Source organism: Homo sapiens, chromosome 7 (genome assembly GCF_000001405.40).
Source record: "Homo sapiens chromosome 7, GRCh38.p14 Primary Assembly".
Lineage (NCBI taxonomy): Eukaryota > Metazoa > Chordata > Mammalia > Primates > Hominidae > Homo > Homo sapiens.
This window is the reverse complement of record NC_000007.14, coordinates 31,979,286-32,001,759: the sequence shown is the minus strand read 5'-3', so window position 1 is coordinate 32,001,759 and position 22,474 is coordinate 31,979,286. Positions and strand designations below refer to the sequence as shown.

Sequence of the window (22,474 nt, the reverse complement as noted above, 5' to 3'; positions counted from 1 at the left end):
TGGGAAGTTCTGCCTTGGAGCCTTGGGATTTTGATTTTGATTGAGCTCCTCCCCTAATTTTTTTTTTACTTTTTTACATGACACCTTTTTCGTCATCTGCAAAATGGAGATAAGGATGCATTTACTCCCTCAATGATGGGGTCGCTGGTCAGGTCATTCATTCCTGTGGGTGTTGGTTTAGTAAGTCTGCAGTGATGAACTCCTTTATGGGAGCTGGTGTGTACGCTGTTACTCCAGGGCCAGCCCTGATGGGAGTTGTGCTCATGGAGCTCACAGCCTCACAGGGAAGATCTCATGCACATAAATAACCGTAATACATGATAATAATACAAATAATAACAGGAGCCATAGGCAGCTGCCACTTATCAGTAGCTTGCTATGTATCAGAAATACGTACTTTTATTTAGGCATCAGAATCAACTCCTGATATGGGATCTTTTGTTTATTTTTAAAACTCACTTAAAAAACAGCTTTTAAAATAGTATACATGCATAGTAAAAACTTAAGGCATACAAAAGTGCAGTAAGTGAAAAGTTGGTATTTTTTCCACTGTAGATTTCTCAGTCCTATTCTCCAAAGAAAAATCACCATAAACATTTTCTTCTGTATTCTTTAAGAATGCTTATTCACATGCTGGCATATATGCCTATCCATTCTTTTACAGAGTGTGATTGTATTATGTACAATTCTATGCCTTGTTTTTTCACTTGGTGTTTTTGCTGTCTCCACCCTCCCCATACATACACACACACACACACACACACACGTATACACACACAGGCACATGTATACAAACGTGGAGAGATCAATCTCGACCTTTTTATTTTTGATAGCAAATAGTAGTCCTTTTCAGGGATGAGTTTAAAAAATTATGTCCTGTGAAAATATTCTGTAAAAGCAAAAATATATTCAAAAAAGTAAATATATTCCATATGAAATGGTGTGGGGGCTGTATTGGAGCTTGAACTAAATGGCATCAGAAAAGGGCTCTGGTTCCAGGGTACCAGACATCCCCGGCAGAGAATGGAGGCTGGAGGTGGTAATGGGCAAGGCTGGGGATATGAAGAGTCCCATGGGACATGAGCGTGTCCAGGGCTCATCTTGGGCACCTGCCCCATGATGAAAGCTCCGATTTCCACTCCTCTGGCTGTGTTTGAGCTGGTGAGAGGGTTCTGCGATGTTTGTGAGTAGCTCAGGAACTGAGTGAAGCAGAAACAGATAATGAGGGGTGTGGCTGCCATCATGGGCTCAGGTCTCCCATACCACTCTCCTGCCTCTTCTGTGATTTCTCCCTTTGCTCCACGCCTATGCCTTCTACCCCACCAGCCTTTCCTGGTGAAATCCTGTTCTTCTTTCCAAACCTTCCCCCAACCATCTTGTTTCCCTCTTATAGCATCAGGAATATAGCAGTGATAGGAGCCTACTTGTCTTGAGTTCTCACTATGCGCCAGATGCCACCAACCATTCTGAGCTCGTTGCATGAATTTACTCATTTAATCCTTACCCCACCTTTTAAGAGACTGTTATCACCATTTTACAGATGAGGAAATCTGAGGCACAGAAAGGCTCCCCCCTTTCCTGAGCGGTGAAGCCCAGTTTACATTAGTACAGTCTAGTTATACTGCCGGACGTCACCATAACTGCTGTCATTTAATCCTCACAGTGACCGTGAGGTAGGTGTGGGTATCTCCCTTTTCACAGATGAGAACATGGGAGCTCAGAGGGGCTGAGCAGCTTGCCAAATTTGTGCCATAGGTAGTGGCAGAACTGTTTTTGTAATCTGATTCTCTCAACTCTCCCCCTAACTCCCTGCCTCTGCATGGAAATCTGTATTAGGAGCACTTGTGCCTGTTCTTCCCACCACTCCTGGGGTCTCCTTTTCTCCCCCAGCAACAGCCATGCTCAGCTGTTGAACTCAGTAAATAATTGCTGAATGATTAATCTCTCTCATGACTGCTCTGTGTGTGAGGGTTCCTTAATTACCAAAACTTTAAGGCATGTCTCATTGTAAATGTTTTGAAATTGTATATGGTAAAGTGTAAAAACATGTGGTGTGTTAATGTTGATATCTCACCTTGAGTTCATCTGTCTCTTGCCTAAAGGTGTTTTTATATCCATGTAGAGTGCCTTTTACTCTATGGCTCCTGATCTGCCATGCAATCAACAGATTTAATAATTTATCAATGTCATATGAGGCTTATCTTGAAGCTGAGTGTGAAGTGGCTTCAGGGTCAGAGAGCTGGGTCTTGCAGATTCCTGGTGCTTTTTCCAGGCTCTGTTGGGCTCTACTGAGCATGGTTTTGCACAGTTCCCCTGCCCTTACCCTGGCTGTGGGACCCTGGGATAGGTGTTTGAACGGAGTTGTAATAGTGTGTGTCAGTTATGTTGGATCATTTTCCCAAGTGTAATTTGAGCGTGTGCAACCTGTGATATGTTCTTATGAAAAGCACATTTGCATATTAATGTATCTGCATTTTGATTCTAAGCCCTTTACTTCCATAGGACTGTGCCCTGAATTTATGCTTAGGTCTGAGAATGTCTGTGAGTTCTAGAGGGGCTGTGCCTGTGTCTGATATGACTCTGCCCCCAACTGTCCCCTCCCCACATGCCTAGCACAGTGCCCGGTACACAGTGAGCAAGCCAGAAGTACTGAATGAATGAGTGGTTGTGTCTTCAGGAAGATGAGTAAGGGTCGGCATAGGAAAGAGTTTCTGAAAATGTTCCAAGTATATCAGTTCTTCTGTTACTGAGCCCCAAATTTCCTTCATGTTTCAGTACTTGCAAATGATCTGAGGTTTTTCTGGCAGCCCAGTCTTTAGGAGGTGACACAGCAACCTCAGCTGTGACCTGCTTGGTTGCAGTGGATTTTGCATAGAGAGTAGCTGTAATTAAACTGTTGATTTGGCTTAATGCTGTTGATTTGCTTTCATCATTTGAGAAAATGTGCAGATATTATAAAACTTGCCAGGGGCTGGGATTTGGCTGTGGAAATAAATTTTGGTTAATTATTTAGCTAAAGAACTTTTAGTATTAGAATTTTTGTGTTAATGAAATTGTTAGTTATGTTCAAATCATGATGTATATGATGACTAAATTACCATAATTTTTCTTCTAATGGTCATTTTCTGCTTCTGTCCCTTTAACTGTGTTATAGACCATATACCTGATTATGAAGGATTATTTAGTTTAACAGTTCTTTTATGGATCACTAATATAAACTTATAGTTGTACCTAGATGTGTACAAGTATAGTTGACAATGATCATTCGGTATATTACCTTTGGTTTCCTTTGCAGGAATTAATTGACATAATAAATGCACAGAGGCCTACCATAGAGTCATACATATGGTAAAAGATTGGTATGTATTTACTAATGCATCCAATAATGCATGCATTCATTTTTCCATCTGGTGACAATGCTATTAAAAATAAGACGTTTCTGGCTGGGTGTGGTGGCTCACACTTGTAATCCCAGCACTTTGGGAGGCCAAGGCGGGAGAATCACGAGGTCAGGAGATCGAGACCATCCTGGCTAACATGGTGAAACCCTGTCTCTACTAAAAATACAAAAAATTAGCTGGGCATAGTGGCAGGCACCTGTAGTCCCAGCTACTCGGGAGGCTGAGACAGGAGAATGGTGTGAACACAGGAGGCAGAGATTGCAGTGAGCCAAGATTGCGCCACTGCATTCCAGCCTGGGCAACAGAGTGAGACTCCGTCTCAAAAAAATAAATAAATAAATAAATAAAAATAAAATAAAATAAAATAAAAATAAGATGTTTCTAACAGCCACATAGAGGCATTTTACTTTTTGGTAGTTTTTAAAGTAAGGGACATTTATTCTCATATATTCCAAGTTCAAATTATGCTCCCGTGCTCTATGATGCAGAGTTTTGGAATCCCAATTCATCGTTGTCTAAGCATTTGAGAGGGTCACATGTACGTTTTCTTTGAGACAAAGAAATGGCTTTATCTACAATCATGCCTTCAGCCAACCCTCTCTGTGTAGGTGGGATGGTCCACTATCTGGGTGAAACACTCAAATAATGGTAATCCCACTGCTTGACAATGGGTGTCTCAAATATCAAGTTATCTTTGATGAGCAACAGACAGCATCTACCTTTTAGGTACTTACCAGATAGCTGAGTCTTGACACCCCTTCAGCAACTCCCTCATTGTGTTGACACCATTGTCAGTATAAGAGACAGGCCAGCTACCATCCCCCCAGGTTCTCCAAGCTCTATTGTTGCCTCTAACTGGCAATTTATTCAGACCATTGTAGTATCTACGCTTTCTGTGGAAATGCTTCAAGGGCATTAGGGCTCTGATTTTTGTTCTGTCCACAAAAAGACCTGAATCCAACCATTGTGAGTGGGGGTGAGGGATGGGAGTGGAACCAACATTTCTTAAGCATCTACTAGCCAGATACTGTGTAAGATCCTTTACCTGTGCCATCTCATTTAATCCTCATGATAACCTTGAGAGGTGTGTACCATCACCTCCATTTTAGAGGTAAGAAATTAAAAGCTTGAGGTGCTTAAGTAATTTGTCCAATGTTGTAGTTCCTAATCTGAACCCAGTCCTGTCTACTAAAAAGCCCATATCCAAAACTTCTGTACTAACTTGCTTCATGAAGCACTGTTTGTTGTTATTTAATGTTTTGTCAATATTTGCCCACCTATTAGTCTATCTGTATATTTCTATGCAATAAATTTTTCCTAAAATTCAGTCCAGAGAGACCTATCTTTCTGTGCACTGATAATGTTCCTTTTTCTTTGATGGTGAGGACTATGTCACTTCTCATTATTCTCTTTTTGCTTGACTGCAGAGCCAGATTGAGTGCTCAATTGCAGTAATTCTCATCTCTGATATCTGGTACTATCACCTCCCTCTTTCTTTTTAGAATTTCTTATTGCTGTCTTTTCTCTTTTTTAAACTACTTCTTGAGTTTTCAAATATTTCTTAAAATAAGGTATAAATTATAAAATCACTATAACATTTTTCAAACAGTTAAACAGATTTTTCATGTTGGATGTCAGTTTTACAATGTGCAGCAGCAGAGAGATGTTGGATCCATTTAAGCAATAGTTTCTATGTCCTGTCCTTCCATTCACAGGTGTGTACAGACACTTACATGTGCACACACACAGACATTAGTAGGACAAGCCCCTTGAGGCTCCCAGCCCATGGCTTCCATGTGTCTGTCTTGTGTGACCTTAGTCTCACTGACTTTATTCTATAATCGCCTCATCAGACCAACCAATCCTTGTAATTAATAGGTCACCCATCCAAAAGACACTTTCCCTTTTGCCTCTCTAGTTTCCTCTTATGAAAGCAGTTTTAAGAGAGGCATTTTTCTGAGTGTGTAAAGACTTTATATCAGAGCTGCTGCCTTGAAATTTAGTTTTGAAGATCATTGTGGGTGATCTTTATTAAGTCTTTCAGGCCTGTAAGTTACTGTTCTAGCTTGGGGCTGGGCTGGAGGGGTATGGGCGGGGTGGGAAAACTTTGCTCCATCCAGGGATGCAAAGTCCATAGAGTAATCACGATGTTTCTTCCTCGTGTGCCCCTCCAAGCTCTGTTGCAAGGGAGACCTATGTTGCCAGCTTCTCTCTCTCTCAACTTGGTTTTTACACCCAGTGAATGCATGGAAGTGTGTGTGTGTGTGTGTGTGTGTGTGTGTGTGTGTGTGTCCGGAAGCGTAAAGAGACAGATGGTTCTGAAGGCTGGCACAGAGTGGAAGCTTCCTGCTAAACAGATGTCCCTCTCGGAGTAATGCAGGCTGCCCAAGAAACCTATGCTTTTTGGCTCCTGCACCCATTGCCAAGGGTCGTTCTACTCTCTAAATAGGCAGCCTGAACTTCAAGTAGATGGAGGGAATGTGGGCCAGCCAGAAACCATCAACAAATACAAAGGCATTTTTTTGGCCTGAATGGTGATAAAAGTTCAGAATTGATGCTTTTTGTTTGTTTTGGACCTAAGATTTGGTGCCCTTTGCTAGGAGACCAGTTGGCCCGTCAGCTCTCAGCAGCATTCACTCTGTGTAGCTGTAAAACTCTTCTAGGTTCTTTGGGGAATTTCAAAGTTGAGTAGAAAATCTATTCTTGCCCACGAGGAACTAGCAATTCAATAAATTTTGCCAAAGCCAAAATCTAGAGGCAATGAGACTAAAACAAACAAAGCACAACAATAAAAAACTTGATGCAAAAATAGGAACATAATATGATAATTATGTTGTAATTTTAAACATAATTTTAAAAATGGTTTAGTGTTAAATGGATTTAGATGTAGAGTTGGAAAAATGTTGAAGAAATATTCTCTGCTGTAAAACAGGGCTTCTGGGCATAGCAGGTTTGGTGGAGGATGAATCATTGCAGGTAGGCGTGCAAGTTTGTGTTTTGGGTCTTCAAAACAAAAATTGCGTAATGGACTCTCTTGTCCATCAAGCAGTTCACAAAATAGACCTCTGACCAAGAGGGGCTGCAGTGGCTCTCTCCCTTCCTCTTCTCTTCTCACTGTAATTTTAGGAACCCTTTGGGCAGTAGCTACACCTATAGTTAAAGGGAATACAGGAAGTACTCAGGGGAAACAAAAAACTGCCTTTCTGAATAAAAATATGGAAGAGAAGAAATGTCCAAAATAGCATCTGGAAACAAACATTTTTATGAAACTAGCAAAGATGCTTGTCTCCAGGACAGACCTGTTTGGTATACAAGACTGAAAACATTTCTAATTAGTATTATCATGGTCAGTCCTGACCACATGGGTTTTTTTTGTTCCATGGTTAAGGACCCAAGTTGTTGTAGAAAGGCTTTTACTACATTTTCAGTAGGGCCAGGAATTTTGCTGCAGTATGGACTTATTGGTAAACAAGCATTTGTTAACACCTTCTGCTGTTGTTTTACAAGCCAGGTAAGAGTGGTAACTGAACAGATATTCTATGCAGTTACTCTTTGTAATTGTGCCGTCACTCTTCCTGGATTTGCCTAAGGTTATGAAACTTGGGCTGGATTCACTTCTTTTGCAGATATTTTTTTCACCTTCCGGGGAACTTGTGAAGGTTCCTGATTCACAGTTTTTGGGCCTGTGAAACTTAATGACTGAGGGAGAGTGGAAAGTAATTAGGTTCCTTGCAATTATGATTATGGTGAGGCTACGAAGAACTCACTTTGCATAGCCTGCTATATATAGTTCAAGGAAAGCCATGCCTTCTATAATCTCACTTAAATTTGGCAATCTTGGGGTGGGCAGGGCATATTTAAAATCTTGCACTTATCAAATAAGAAAACTGAGAGGTCATAGGGTCATCCGGCTCATAGATAGCAAACCTACTTTTAAACCCAGTTTTATTTCTTATTCCAAGTTCAATGCTATTCCCATGAAGCACATGACCTCTTAAAATTGGTACTTTTTATTTTGAAATGCCTCAATTTTTAGTATTTAAAAAAGTTTTGGTATCTTTTTACAAAAAGGTAGTTTTGAGAATATGAATTACACATCCAGGTGAGAAAACTAAGACATAAGGAAATTTGGGGGCTTACTCAAGACCATAAAATAAAATTAGATATAGCATATCAGGGAATTGGTGACCCTTTCTACCACACATTGTGATTGTTGCTTTGCCTCTGTATGCAGCTCTCCTTGGGCTTGGTGCACTTGCTACTGCTTTGGTGACTCTCAGGAAATACAGGAAAATGGGACTTATATATTAGACTCCAACACTGATTCAGTAGCAACATGGAATTTCCACTTTCTAGTTGCCCTTCATTGGAGGTTATTTATTCTATCTTCTACACAGGGAAATTGGGAAGACATATGGGTTGTTTGCTTTTTAAAGCACATACTGCCGAAAAAGGGAAAACCCAGGGCTATTGCATATCGCCAGTTATAAAAACTTTTGTTGTTGTTAAGGGATCACTTTAGTTCATCATTTTCTTTTTACTGATGAGGAAGAAACTGAGAAAGATTAAAAGACGTGTCAATATCACAAAGTGAGGATAAGTTTTAGCAGAGCTTAGGCCTTCTGATTTTGTTTCATTCATTTTTTACTGTATTTAATCTTTTGTTTATGTTGGAATTCAAGCTATTTGTTTTTTACTAATGTTTTCTGTGCTTCTGCAAGATTTTATGAGACTCCCCAGTTCAAAATTTCTTTCCTTAATTTTCCACACCCAAGCCTTTTATATCTATAACTTTTATATTTTGCAATAAGAAAAATTAGACTTATAGAGGCTATTCATCCATCCGCTTGCTTTCTAATTGATCACTTAGGAGACTTGTGATATGCCCTCCATCTCTGTGCCTCTCTTTCTTGTTCCCTTCTAACTTACAATTCCCTGTAACTGCAGCCATACCCTTCTAGGCTCCCTGTCTGCCCTCCTTATTCCAGTCAAGCTTGGACTTTGATCCTTTGCTTATCCCAGAATGCTTTGTTCCAAACATCTTTAAGCCAACCTACTCAAATGTTAGCCAGAAAACAGCAATTATCTATTGAGCTAAACATTCATACTGAATGATCAGGAATGGTAGCGTTATGATCAAATAGGGAGGAAAGTCACAGCTATTCTCTGAGAGAAAGCTGAGATATATTCACAACATTGGTTTATATTATCTTAGTGTGAAACCACTTAAATCTTAACAGTACATGTTGGGATGTATTGGAAGAAAGACATCACAAAAGTAATTATTGACTATGAAAAGCATCCATAAGAAATGTTTTTAGAGCAACTACTGTAAACTAATCAGAATATAATTATTCTAGACAATACCCCAAGTAGGTGCCGATCGTTTGATATGAGGATTAGAGATAAAAACTTCATTATGTTCCATATAAAATGCCAGTGCAGAATGGAAAACAATAACACTTCAACTAACTATATTGATATTTATGCAGTGTCTTCCACCCAAGATCCTGACAAGTGCTAGTAAGCTATCATTATGTTCTCTGTGTGGCAATGAACAATAAGGGTTCAGCATGTGTTTGTTTAAAAAAGAGTCATGCTTATTAATATTGATAGCATAATATTTGGAAACTATATTATTATGCAGCTATAATGTAACCATTTATTCTGTTCTGCTATCAAGCCATTGAAACTGAGCTCTGCCCAATGACTGCATTTGCTTGACTTAGGGTTGCTGTACTTATTTGTTGGAGGTACCCTCCCATATGTACCCTCCTTCAGACCTCACCAGCCTATGGATGCAACATGAACCACATCAAGGGAATTCACATTTCCCTGGCTTACATCCCACTGAGGTCTCAGCATCACATCCCTGCCCTCCAACAAAGCCTTTCCTCATTTGTTTGGGAAGTCCCAGGAGTGTCTCATATGTGATCACAAATCATAGTTTTCCTCTTTGAACCCACCTTTCCCTGATGTCCAAGGCACTTGGAAACACCAGGTACTGGTGCCTCCTTCATTGTTGCCACCATGGCTGGTATCCTCTTTAGGAACATTGCTTCCTTGGCTAGATATGGACTCCTGGTGTGGTCCCTTGGGTGTCACTGAGCTGGAGCCATGTGTGTTTTGTGCACACACAGGAAGTGTTTCACTCCTATGCTTGCTCATACCCAGGATATCCTTGTGAAACCACAGCCTCAGTACTGCTCTTCTCCCTACTGGGCTTGGGCCTGGTGCATGGGATCCCACTGGGGAACAAGTCATTCTCTTTATGCTCATCCCTGCAACCAAGTCCTTTTTCAGGCCATGCTGATCAGCTCACGGAAACAGAAGCCTCCCTCTCCCTTTTCCAGATTAACCCAGATAGGTCTGGAACCAATAGGAACCCGCTAACATATTACCAGCTAAAAACAATAGCTTTGCGTCTGTTAGGATAAACACAATGATTCACACTGCAGAATTGGTGTGCCAGAATTTTTGCAGGCTGTGTCCAGGGAAAAGGAAGCAGGTTGTTAAGTATGCTACTAGTAGAAAAATAAAACAAACCACTGTTTATTGAGTTCTTCCTATTCACTAGGCCATGTATTTACTACTTACTGGCTTTATACATACCACACACATACGCATATACACAGACATACACATACTTTATTTAATTCTTCAACCCTACAACAGAGGTCATTTTTTCCATAGGCCAAGATAGGTAACAGGTGCAGAAAGCCAATGGAGGAATGGAAGGGAGCCATTATTTACTGAGCACCTGCTCGGTCCCAGGCTTTACGGAGGTGCATTGCATATGCTGTTTTACTTCATCCTCACAGTGCTCCCAAGCCATTCCCCTTCTGCAGGTAACTATGTGAAGGCAAAGAGAACATAATTTCTTGATGACTGCAGAGCTAGTAACTGGTAAATCTGACATGACCCTAGTCTGTTTGAGTTCAAAGCCCTAGCTCTTTCCTTTGTATAGCACGAGAGCCTCAGAGACATTGCTTGACTCTGTCCCTACCACCTCATTTCCAATCTTTGCCTCAGAGGGCCTAACCTCGTTTTACATCATCAGAACCAGAGCTCTGAATTTGACCATTGCCCAGTGTTTCCTCAAAGAGATGTTTAATAGGCTTTTGAGGGCTAGCCTGAGAATGTAGGCACTATTAACTCTCATTTCTATAGGAAGATATATGTCACATTCCAATTAAGTGGCTTACAAATTGAGTATGTAACACATTCAAATGCATATGACATATATGTAATAACCTTTGAAAATTTGTAAGTTGGATATTTATAGCATTAAAATAGTTAAATTTATTAAAAATAAAAATGTTTCCATTAGTGTTCCTGTCTTTATTAGTCAAGTAAGAGGACTGAGGAGCTAGAAACCTTATTTGCTATCCACATTTGCTATCCAGCTTGGAGTTGCTGGTAAAAGTTCCTCTGTGTGAGGAAAAAATGTGGTAGTTTAAGCATGAAATAAATATTGTAAGATCACAATGATCTATTGAATTTTTAAGTACAATTATAATTTAAATTCATTTTTTTCCTGTATCTTGCTGCTCTATGTGAATCTCCAGCAGAGGATAATTTAATCTTGAAGCTGAATTAAGTTTCATAGTAACCCTTACCAAAGCAGATAATTTCTCTTTACATAGAGCAGAATTCAAGCAAATTTGTATTAATTTTGGTTGTGAAAAGTATCTCTCTGCTGTTGCAACTGTGACTGACATTATTTTAATGATTCTCAAAATCAAACAAATATTGAGGTTTTTATGTTTTTTTGTTTTTTTAAATCGAACCCCAGCTTAGAATTGAGAGTGTGGGTTAGCCATCCTTCTTCTGGGAAGTCTAACCTAGCCCATTCCTATTGTATTAGTCTAGTCTCATGCTGCTCATAAAGACATACCCAAAACTGGGTAATTTATAAAGAAAAAGAGGTTTAATGGACTCACAGTTCCACATGGCTGGGGAGGCCTAACAATCATGGCGGAAGGCGAATGAAGAGCGAAGTCATGTCTTACATGGCAGCAGGAAAGAAAGCTTATGTGGGGGAACTCCCATTTATAAAACCATCAGATCTCATAAGACTTATTCACTACCACAAGAACAGCATGGGAAAGACCCGTCCCCATGATTCAATTACCTCCCACCAGGTCCCTCCCATGACACATCAGAATTATTACAATTCAAAGTGAGATTTGGATGGGGATACAGAGCCAACCATATCACCCATCAACCCACCAGTTTAGGGGCCTTCCTGTTTGCTCCCCAGGGGCCCTGCACTAATGCCCATGTCTCCCATAGCACATGTGACTGTAGCTGCTTTTCTGTTCATCCACATCCCCCACTGGACTGCAAGTTCCTTTCAGGAGGGAAGGACTGCTTTGGATTCACTCCCTTCCCTGTGCCCGGCACAGTGCCTAGTCCTCAATAAGTAGTTAATGAATAATTGAATTGGTGAATGGCTAAGTTATTCCCTTGTTTTTCTAGTTGAGGGATGAAATGTGAGTTTTGGATAAGATAGGTAACTTGCTTATGATTGTGTAAGTAGTAAATGACAACACAGGCAAGATAAAGTGCCTGCCCAGGAGAAAGCTGAGACATAGACACAGCTAGTCACCGCAGTTATCGTAGCCAGGGAGAGCAAAAGACAGTTAACCAATCGGAGGCTAACTATAGCTCTAATGAGTGACGTTATGGGGTCTCATAAAAGGGAAAAGAGAACAAGGAAGACACTGAATTCTTTCTGGGTTAGCAGAGACACCCAAGTGTAAGAATGTAGAAAGTGTTTGAGAAACCACTTGACTGAAGGCAAAAACCTCATTGTTGTGCATATATATACGCCAAATGGAAGAAGAAAAATTAGATAAAAGTTTCAGGTTAGGGTGTGTATGTAGATATATAATATATCATGTATGTATGTAATGTATAAAACCTGATATGCATATTTATGGAAATGTTCTGGGTTTGATGGTGGAAAAATCATTGAAAACAAGTAGCTGGCAGTAACAGCAGACATTTACTGAGTATGTATACTGGGACTGAACTACTTACTGGGCTGGGAGGAGATACAGAAATTAGAGCCATTCTGTCATTGATCTTAAGGAGACTTTAGCCAGAGAAGGAGGATATGACCTTAACACAAATGAAAATAAAGCAAAGTGAGGGAAATATAAGTAAAGTCCAAAATATCATTATTATTTTGTATTATTTATTTGTGTTTGTCTTCTTTCTTTTCTTTTCCTCTTTCTTTCTCTTTCTCTTTCTTTCTTTCTTTGTTTCTTTCTCTCTCTCTTTCTTTCTTCTCTATTTTTTCTCTTTCTTTCCTTTCTCTCTTTCTCTCTCTCTCTTTTTTTTTTTTTTTTTTTTTTTGAGAAGAAGTTTCACTCTTGTTGCCCAGGCTGGAGTGCAATGGTTTAATCTTAGCTCACCACAACCTCTGCTTCCTGGGTTCAAGTGATTCTCCTGCCTCAGCCTCCCGAGTAGCTGGGATTACAGGCATGTGCCACTACGCCCAGCTAATTTTTGTATTTTTAGTAGAGACAGGGTTTCACCATGTGCGCCAGGATGGTCTCAATCTCCTGACCTCATGATCCGCCCGTCTCACCCTCCCCAAGTGCTGGGATTACAGGCGTAAGCCACTGTGCCAAGCCTGTATTTATTTGTTTTTATAAGAGACAGGGTCTCACTCTGTTGTCCCCAGGCTGAACTGGAACTCCTGGGCTCAAGCCTGATTCTCTTGCTTCAGTCTCCCAAGTAGCTGGACTACAGGCACATGCCACTACACCAGGCAGTAAGGTCCAAAATAATCAAATTAAAAAAAATTATAGAGGCCCAAATGTTTGAGAAACTATATGCAGTTAAAAATATGTTAAAGATGATTCTTGAAGGATAAGGCAGAATTTCAACAGGTAAAGGTGGAATAGAGGAGGCAGGTAAGGTAAAGTCATCTTTTGAGTGGTTAGGATTTGTAAATAACATAGAAACCTTTAAAAGTGACTTATACATGTTGGCATTATTACCTTTGGTCATGGCTCTGGCTGGAAACCAAGGCAGGCCCAAGGGTTTAACTTAGGGCTATTGATGAAGGTGCTCTTTACTGTAGGCGTCTGGGCAGAGTGGACAGAATCCAAAGCCTTGTAAGGCCCCCAGAGACTGGCAACAGCAGGGGGTTGTTGCCACCACTGGGGGGCCTGACCCAGCAGGGCAGAGGGTGAAGCCACAGTGGGACGGGCAGGGCTGGAGGCAAGATATTGCTTATGAGACAAGCCATCCCACCTGTCACTGTCAGCCCCAGTGTGAGCTTCCTATGGTCCACAAGTGCCTCATCTACCCTAACTTCCTTCCCTTTCTACTTTCTGATCTGCTGATGCCTCCAACAGAAACTCAACAGGAAGCCAGAGGGCCAGAGAGCCAGCGATGGCCCATCCACAGTCACCCCCAGGCACAGAGAAGGGTGGAGAACAGATCCAGGGTAGCTGAGAATAACCAACACAGACACATAGCACTTTCTACCAATTCCAGCCTTATACTGAAAGTTCATTACAGTTTTCCGCACCAGAGAATTCAGCAAAAGACAGCTCTGTATTGGATATCATTCAGAGGGATTTTATTACTGACAGTACCAGAAATAACTTCTTTTAAGTCCTACTTTGTGTGCTTCTAACGATATAACACTGTTCTCTAAGAAAAACAAAAAACACATAGTGATGCTAAATAAGTTGGTTTTATTAGGGAAGGGGATATTTTATTATCCAAGACCCTGGCCTTTCATTTCACCTGGGTGCTTTTCAGAGCTAGGACTCAGAGAACAAAGCTCTGTGAGGAGACTGCAGCTGGAGACTTTTTCTTACTTTCTAAGTTCATTCTTTTCTCTTTAGGCTTGTGGGTGGTTTCCTTTATAAGCCATTTTAGAAGTTCTGGGTCTCCACTGCTCCTGAGGTGACCAGACTTTCTGGAAAATGGAGGCTGAGGCAGGATGATGAGCTCAGCTGGGTGGGCCCTCATCCTGTCCTGATTCCTAAGCACTGCTGGGAGTAAATCCTTTAAATTGCACATCACATTTGCATCTCTCTGTTTACATTTCTTAATTTCCTCAAGAATCGTTTGTTTGTCGAGAGCTGGTTGTTTCTTTAGCAAAGATTTCCTGAATAAACAATGTAAAGAGCCTTCTTTTTTAAAAACACCGCTCCACTAAATAAACAAATACAGCAATGAATAAATAAAGGAAATATCTAGTAGGTTAATCCTAGTCCATGCAAACATGTTTTCTTCCACACAGCTGACTAAAGGCATAGATTCAATAGAATTCAAGTAGTTCTGACTCATGCTCATTTAATTTAATCAGCATTGACCATATGTTTGGAGTTTGTCTTAAAACAGAAGCGTTTCTTCCTAGTTTTGTGTGTGTATGTGTGTGTGTGTGTGTGTGTGTGTGTTCGTGTTCAATGAAAACTCTATAAGTGTTATAGACTATTTTCAGCTAAAAACCTTCCCCTCTCCTGGTTAGTTTCCTAATGTTGTTGCAGCAAATTATCACAAACCAGGTGGCTTAAAACAAATTTTTTCCCTCACAGTTCTGGAGGCCAGAAGTCCAAAATCAAGGGGGTTAGTGGGACCATGCTCCTTCCATCGACCCTGGGGAAGAACCTTCCTTGCCTCTTCCCAGCATCTGGTGGCTCCTGGCAATCTTGATATTCCTTGGCTTCTGGTCTCATCACTCAGGTCTCTTCCTCCTGCTTCACATGGCCTTCTCTCTGTGCCCTCCCCACTTCTTATTAGGATATCAGTTATTGGATTTAGGGCATCCTAATCCAATATGAGCTCATCTGGATCCTTAATTAATTATATATGCAAAAATCCAGCTTCCAAATAAGGTCACTGTACTGGGTTAAAAAAATGTCCCCACCAAAATTCATATCAACCCAGAACCTCAGAATGTGACTTTATTTGGGAATACAGTCTTTGCAGATATAACTAGTCAACATGAGGTCATCCTGGATTAGAGTGGGTCCCAAATCCAATGACTGGTGTCTTTACAAGATCGGAAGAGGCCATAGGGAGAAGAAAGCCATGTGAAGTAGGAGGAAGAAATTGGAGTCAGACAGCTACAAGGCATGGAACATGAAGAATTGTCAGAAACCACCAGAAGCTAGGAGGAGGCAAGGAAGGATTCTTCTCAACAGCCTTCAGAGAAGGTGTCCCATAAACACCTTGATTTTGGACGTCTAGTTCCCAGAACTGTGCAAGAATAAATTTCTGTTGTTGTAAACCACTAAATTTGTGTTAATTTGTTATGGCAGTCCTGAGAAAATAATTCAATCACTCTTAAGTTTTCCAGGTAGATGTGAATTTTGGTGGTATACTAGTCAATCCACTTCACCCTAACTGTGAGGGGAGTTGGCCAATGTCATTCTACCTGTTATGCAAATGAGGAGCAAGGTGCTAGGGGAAGGGGCAGAGCAGGAAACTGATTTCACTTTTAAAAAACATTATTGTGGCACTATTCACAATAGCAAAGACTTGGAACCAACCCAAATGTCCATCAATGATAGACTGGATTAAGAAAATGTGACACACATACACCATGGAATACTATGCAGCCATAAAAAAGATGAATTCATGTCCTTTGCAGGGACATAGATGAAGCTGGAAACCATCATTCTCGGCAAACTATCACAAGGACAGAAAACCAACCACCACATGTTCTCACTCATAGGTGGGAACTGAACAATAAGAACACTTAGACACAGGGCGGGGAACATCACACACTGGGACCTGTCGGGGGCTGGGGGTTGGGGGAGGGATAGCATTAGGAGAAATACCTAATGTAAATGACGAGTTGATGGGTGCAGGAAACCAACATGGCACATGTATAGCTATGTATCAAACCTGCATGTTGTGCACATGTTCCCTAGAACTTAAAGTATAATAACAAAATAAATAAATAATAAAAAACGTATTAAAGTTCAATTCTCTTTTTTCTTGGAGATAAAAAGATTTCTCAAGGTTCCTGGAAAGCCACTTTTTGGGGGCCAATCATAAATATAATTTAACAGATTATATAAATAGCCCTACTATTTAAAAAAATGTAGACCCCTTTAGTGCTTTTATAGAGCTCTGAGCAAAGAATTGTAAGAAAACTCCATGCCTTCCCTATGATGATCTGGTCTTATTTCATGACTGCTATGGTACTGCTTACTAGTCTACTCTTGGCCCTTGTCCGTGCGCTGATAAACCTTTCATGGTATGCACTCACTCATGGCTTGATGGTGTCTGGATAGCAGATTCCCAGGGTTTGTTCTTTAGGCGTCAATTTTTATAATTATTTCCTTACATTTTGCTCTCTTTTACTTTGAGGAAAGGTCGTGTTTCCTTCAGAGTAGCTAAGGCATGGACCTAGGGTAGGAGGTTTCAGGAATTGCTACTCTGAAGGACGATGTTTTCTGTCATCTTCCTAGATTTCCAACCTGGGGCTTTCAGATTCCAATTTGTTAGTTTGCTGGAATTCTTACAGAGGAAAAGGAGGTTATGGTTCCACATGGCAAGATCATTTGTGTCAACATTTAATTTAACAGTCAATGTTTTTGTTAACTGAGGTAACAGACAATCTGCAAACAGAATAAATTTTTAAAAGATTACTCCATCAAAGGGGACCTTCCTCAGGAATTATTTTCTAGAATTCTCTATCTAGACTGGTGATCTTCTAAATCTTCTAGGCAAAACCACTTATGTAATTTGCAGAGCCCAGTGTGCACGCAGTGAAAATTTGGGTCTCCTTGTTCAAAAAACATAAAAAGGGGACCATGGCCCTTCAAGCATGAAAGAGTGATACCTTTGTTGGGCGTGTGGTGAGAGGATCCCAGGGAAAGAGAAAACAAGGAGCGACTTTGAGGCACTGTGGGTGGTGAACTGCATCCAGATGATCTAGCCCAGCAGTCTCCAACTTTTTGGCACCAGGGACCCATTTTGTGGAAGACAATTTTGCCACGGATGGCAGGGGGATGGTTTTAGGATGAAACTGTCCTACCTCAGATCATCAGGCATTAGAATCTCATAAGGAGTGTGCAATCTAGATCCCTCATGTGCACAATTCACAGTAGGGTTCGTGCTACTATGAGAATCTAATGCCTCAGTTGATCTGACAGGAGCCAGAGCACAGGCTGTCTTGCTCGCTTGCCAGCTGCTCACCTCCTGCTGTCTGGTTCCTAACAGGCCATTGACTGCTACCAGTCTGTGGCCTTGGGTTTGCGGACCCCTGATCTAGCCCTTTCCTCTCCACCTCTATCATACCGCCTTCAGGTACTCTTCCTCCTCCTGCTCTTTTGAACGTGCCTCACACCCCTTTATTTTCCAGCCCTTTTGCTCCCTTTCTCCTCCCACATTCCTTCATTTGGGCAGCCTGCAGCATCTTTGACCTACTCCACCCCACATCTCTCCTTCACTCTGCCAGTTCATATGGTCAGGCCTGGATTCAACAGCCCGAGCTCAGAAGAGCCCCTGCATGTGATCTGATGCTCTCATGTTGCCGTCTTGAAATTCTTAATACTTTTTTAGTTGGTTTTACAAATAAGTGAAGTGGTGGAATGATAAATCAGAGGGTTTTAAAATTTGCAAGTTAATGCTCATGTTGCATGAAAGAAATACACAGGTATTTGCACAATGCTTTGAGACACTAAAGGTCTGTGCAGCCACGGCAGTATCCTTCCCTGTAAACCATGGTGATTTTTTAAAAAAAATTATTATTTTTTTTAGAGGCAGGGTCTTGCTCTGTCACCCAGGCTGCAGTGCAAACATGGTGCTTTTGATTCTCATTTGACTTTTGCAGGAACATTTGTTTCACTTTCTAATATCAACGAAATGTTTGGAGTTCTCAGTTGTGATAGTGAATGGCATGCATCATTCAGTGCATTTGCTATTGTGTCAGATTTTCTGTGGTGTTTTAGGGAGTCATCCATGAATTGATCTTAAATGAGGGCTGGATATGTATCTCCCTCCTCCTGAGCTTCCCCAACTCTCCTGATTTGGGTCTCATTTCCTGTCTTTTATGTAGAAGCTTTCATAAGACTCTACTTTGATCATTCATTGTCTTAGGAAATTTGAGTTCACTAAGGAGTGTGTAGGCATTAGAACTTCATTGTTCCCATCTTTGAGTCTGTGTAACCAGGAGTAATTGGGAGATGTTTCTGTCATCACTTAGCCCTGGAGCAATTTGTACTCTGACTTCAAGAGAGTATGACAAGGATAGTTACATGGAGAGGGGGATGGGTTTAGAATATTTTAATTGCTATTCTAGTACATGTCAGTATGACATGATCTGCAAAAGGAAATTTCCCTAACGATTTTAAGTCTGTACCAGTTGCATTTTGTTCATTCAGAAGAGCTATGAAGCAATGTGGATTCCCATTTTCTCAGATAGTAGATTTTATATAATTTTTTTGGCATGGAGCTGTATATGGAGAGAGGAGCTAACTGGTCAGCCTGAATATGCCTCAAGTTTATGCAAATTTCTCAAAGCCCATGGGGTTCAACAATATCTTATGAATTGTTTCTTTTTCTATTTTACTTTTTTATTTCCAACTTTTGATTTTGATTTTTTTTCAAACATGTGGGCAAGTTCAAAAGATTAGTATAATGAACACCTACACTTGCCATCTAGATTCTACAATTGTTATAGTGAGTTGGTTCTTGACTCCAATTAGGCACTTTTTGCGTTTTATTCACAGGCCCCTTTCAAAACCTATTGGTTTTGGCTTGTCACTCAGATTTTCCCAAACTGAGAGGGACCCATTAACTTCTGTTTTTATGCTAAAAAAAAAGAGGAAATTAAAAAAATCATAGAACCTTCCCTATTAGTGTTGTTGATGACAGTATTGATTCTTGTGTAAATTGGATTTACCTTTATCCTTTCATCTTCCTTTTTATAGGCTATTGAGAGTTTACTGTCATGCCTACCTGAGCACAGGAGTTTGGCATTAAATTCATGGTTTGTAACTTAACCATTGCTACTTACAGAACAAAACAACTGGATGAATATCACATGGAACTATTTTTCATTCTTTCGAGTTCACACCGATGTGCTTGTTGAGAAAGAGAAACATCTGAAACACAGGCCCCTTGGTGTAACATCAGTGACAACACTGCCTGTCTAGGGAACCTCGACTGGATGGCTGCCAGCTCAGGGGTGCAGTTGAGAACGATTCCTGGGTCGCTGTTGACTCCTTGGAGGAGACATTTCATGCCCACATAACTCTAGATATTTGCTGATGGAAAGCACAGTGCTCTACTGTGCACTTCAAGTGGAATATCATGCAGATAGCAGTGAATTGCATCATGCAGATTAGAAGGGGGGTTATCTAAGGTAGCATAACAGCCTCTTTTGAAGGCACTGAAAAAATATATATTTGGGAATAGTGTTGGCATACAGCACCTAGAACAAAGTCTCACATGTAAACCATGCTCAGAGAATGTTCTATTTAACTTCGTCTGTAAGATATGAAACTGTCTTTTTTCTTTCTCATATTTAACTTTCAGTTATAAAGCTTTCTAAATTGCTTTGATAATATTCAAAGATATAGGCAGATTAACACTTTCTCTGTTATTTCCTCTTTCATGTGTGTTGACACATACAACTATATGTGTGTAGTGTTATATAAGTGTCAACTACTTAAGTGAAGAAAGTAGGTATGGCTGTCTAGAAAAAGTGCTTTAAAAGTGGGAAGACATACTTTTAAAGCTAAAGCAGTGACAAGATTTTGTCATTTGAAATAGTGGGATAAACTGTAGATCATAATTCATAAATTCTTTATTCTTAAAGAGTAAAAATATTAATGATGAAAATCCAGGGAGATTTGTTTAGGCTCATGGATCTATTGAACCATTTCAGTAGAAAGGAGATTAATTACAGTTGAAATTTCATTAACACACATTTTAATAATTAAAATATATGAAGTGATATGTTAAGTGAAGATGTGATATAAATCGTCAAACTTTATTTACGACCTTATCTACCAAACCTCAAATTCTATAAAATTTCAAACTCTATAAATTGGTAGGTATATAAGTACACAAATGCAAAACTTGAGATTTAAAAATTCTTTTCTATGCTTCACATCCCCAGATTTATATAGGTAATATTATAATGGTAATATTCTTGACTATAGCCTGACATAGCTTATTATAATAAGATTGAGTTAACAAGGTAGTGTGTAGTTACAAGAATAACTTAAATATTCTTGATGGGTTTATAGATTAGGAGAAAAGACTTTAAGAGTCATAGCCTTAAGAGTCAATATGGTAAGTGAAATGATGGCTCTCCACAGTTGTCCACATCCTAATCCCTGAAATCTATAAATGCTGCCTGATGTGGCAGAAGGGACTTTGCATGTGTGATTGAGTTAAGGGTCTTGAGATAGGAAGGTCATCCTGGATCATCTGGGTGGGCCCACCATCATCGCAGGGCTGCTTATAAGTGAGAGGCAGGAGAGCCAGAGACCAAGAGAGATTTGAAGATGCCCTACTGACTGGCTTTAGAATGGAAGAAGGGGCCACAAGCCCAGGAAGGTGGGTGGTCTCCAGAAGATTGAAAAGGCAAGGAAACTGATTCTCTCCTAGAGCCTCCAGAAGGAATGCTGCCCTGTAGACATCTTGATTGTAGCCCTGTGAGACCCATTTTAGACTTCTGACCTCCAGAACTAAGAGAAGAAATTTGTGTTGTTTTAAGCCACTAAGGTGTGGTATTTGTTAAGGCAGCAACAGGAAACTGACATAGTCAGGAAGCAAGTTGGTCACAGGTGGAACTATGTCTTTGATCAGGAGAGTGAGAACCTGCTTGTGATCATTTCCTAGAGTATTAACCAAAAAGTCTTATGAAATGTGGAAAAAATAGCAATCTTGTGACCCAGGATTTACTGAAGCCCTTGGAATTCAACACTCAGAGGTGTTAGGCAAATCCAAAGTACTTTTATCAAAATTAGTCACCACAATTATGTTAGTAGATGGAAATTAAGCTGGAATTTAAATCATTCTGCACAGGATAAAGCTTTAACTTCCATATTTCCTGAAATTAAATATTATTCTAAAAATAATTACTTCCTGAATTATTAATCCCTGATATTTAAGGACTCACTTTTTATCTATGGCTTGCCTGTAACCTTGTAATAAAGTGGACCTGGCCCGCTTTGTGCTGGGGTATGTACTAGCAGAATGCTAGATTGAATTGCTAGAAAAAAGCCAGCCAACAGTTTGGCTGGAAGACCAGTCATCTGCAGAGCACACCAGAGCTGACAGCCATGGGGCACCTCCTTTCTGGAGTCTGCACAAGTGTGAAAAAGGCTACTTTATGCTAAAGGAGCCCTTTTCCTGGAATATTTACTTAGGCCTCCATCTCCCCATGATGATTTACATGTTATTTCTCACCCCTGCTGTCAGGATAAAATGAGTATTTTGAGGTCTCATGATCTGAAGAGTGTTGGTACTACCTGTCACCTGTCAGGAAGATGGATACCAGCATCTGCTGTAGTTGTTGACTTGTATCAAAATAACCACACAGTACTTGGGTACAGTGAATTCTGCTCCTTCTTTGTTTCCTTGGCTAGTGCTTAAGATAAAAAAAGTACATTATTCTTTGTATTTTTCTAGTAGCATTCACTTGGATCTTTCAAAGCAAAACCTGCAAATGTTTTTACTTTCATGAAGCTAGTAAGTATAGGAATTGTTGTCTTCTTAATAGTATAGTGCTTACATATGTGGGCTCTGGAGCCAGACTGCGTGGGTTTGAATCCTGGCTCTGCCATTTACTGGCTGTGTGACCTTGGGCAAGTTCCTTTACCCCTCCCTGTGGCTGTTTCCTCAAAAGGGGCATAATGATATTTTCTATCTCATAAGATTGTTTGAGGGTGAGATGAATTAATATGTGAAAAACACCTAGAGTAGTACGTAGCACATTTTAGTAAAATAATGACTATGTATTTACTTGAATTATTTAATTCTTATAACCTCCATATAATGAGTTACGGGTGATTTTTATTCCATTTTAGAGATAGAAACCATGGCATGGATAACTGGTCCAATTCTCATGGTTG

At 40.2% G+C, this 22,474-nt stretch overlaps 1 protein-coding gene across 27 annotated transcripts in view; it reads left to right on the top strand.

Moving 5' to 3' along the window:
- The window catches only part of PDE1C (phosphodiesterase 1C), an 811,448-nt gene that overhangs the window by 426,465 nt on the left and 362,509 nt on the right, over positions 1–22,474 (top strand). The window contains exon 1 of one of the 27 annotated variants that reach the window (XM_047420445.1): positions 1–22,474. This exon is cut by the window's left edge and continues 25,847 nt beyond it. The gene's annotated coding sequence lies outside the window, so the exon portion shown is untranslated. 27 annotated transcript variants of the gene reach the window in all.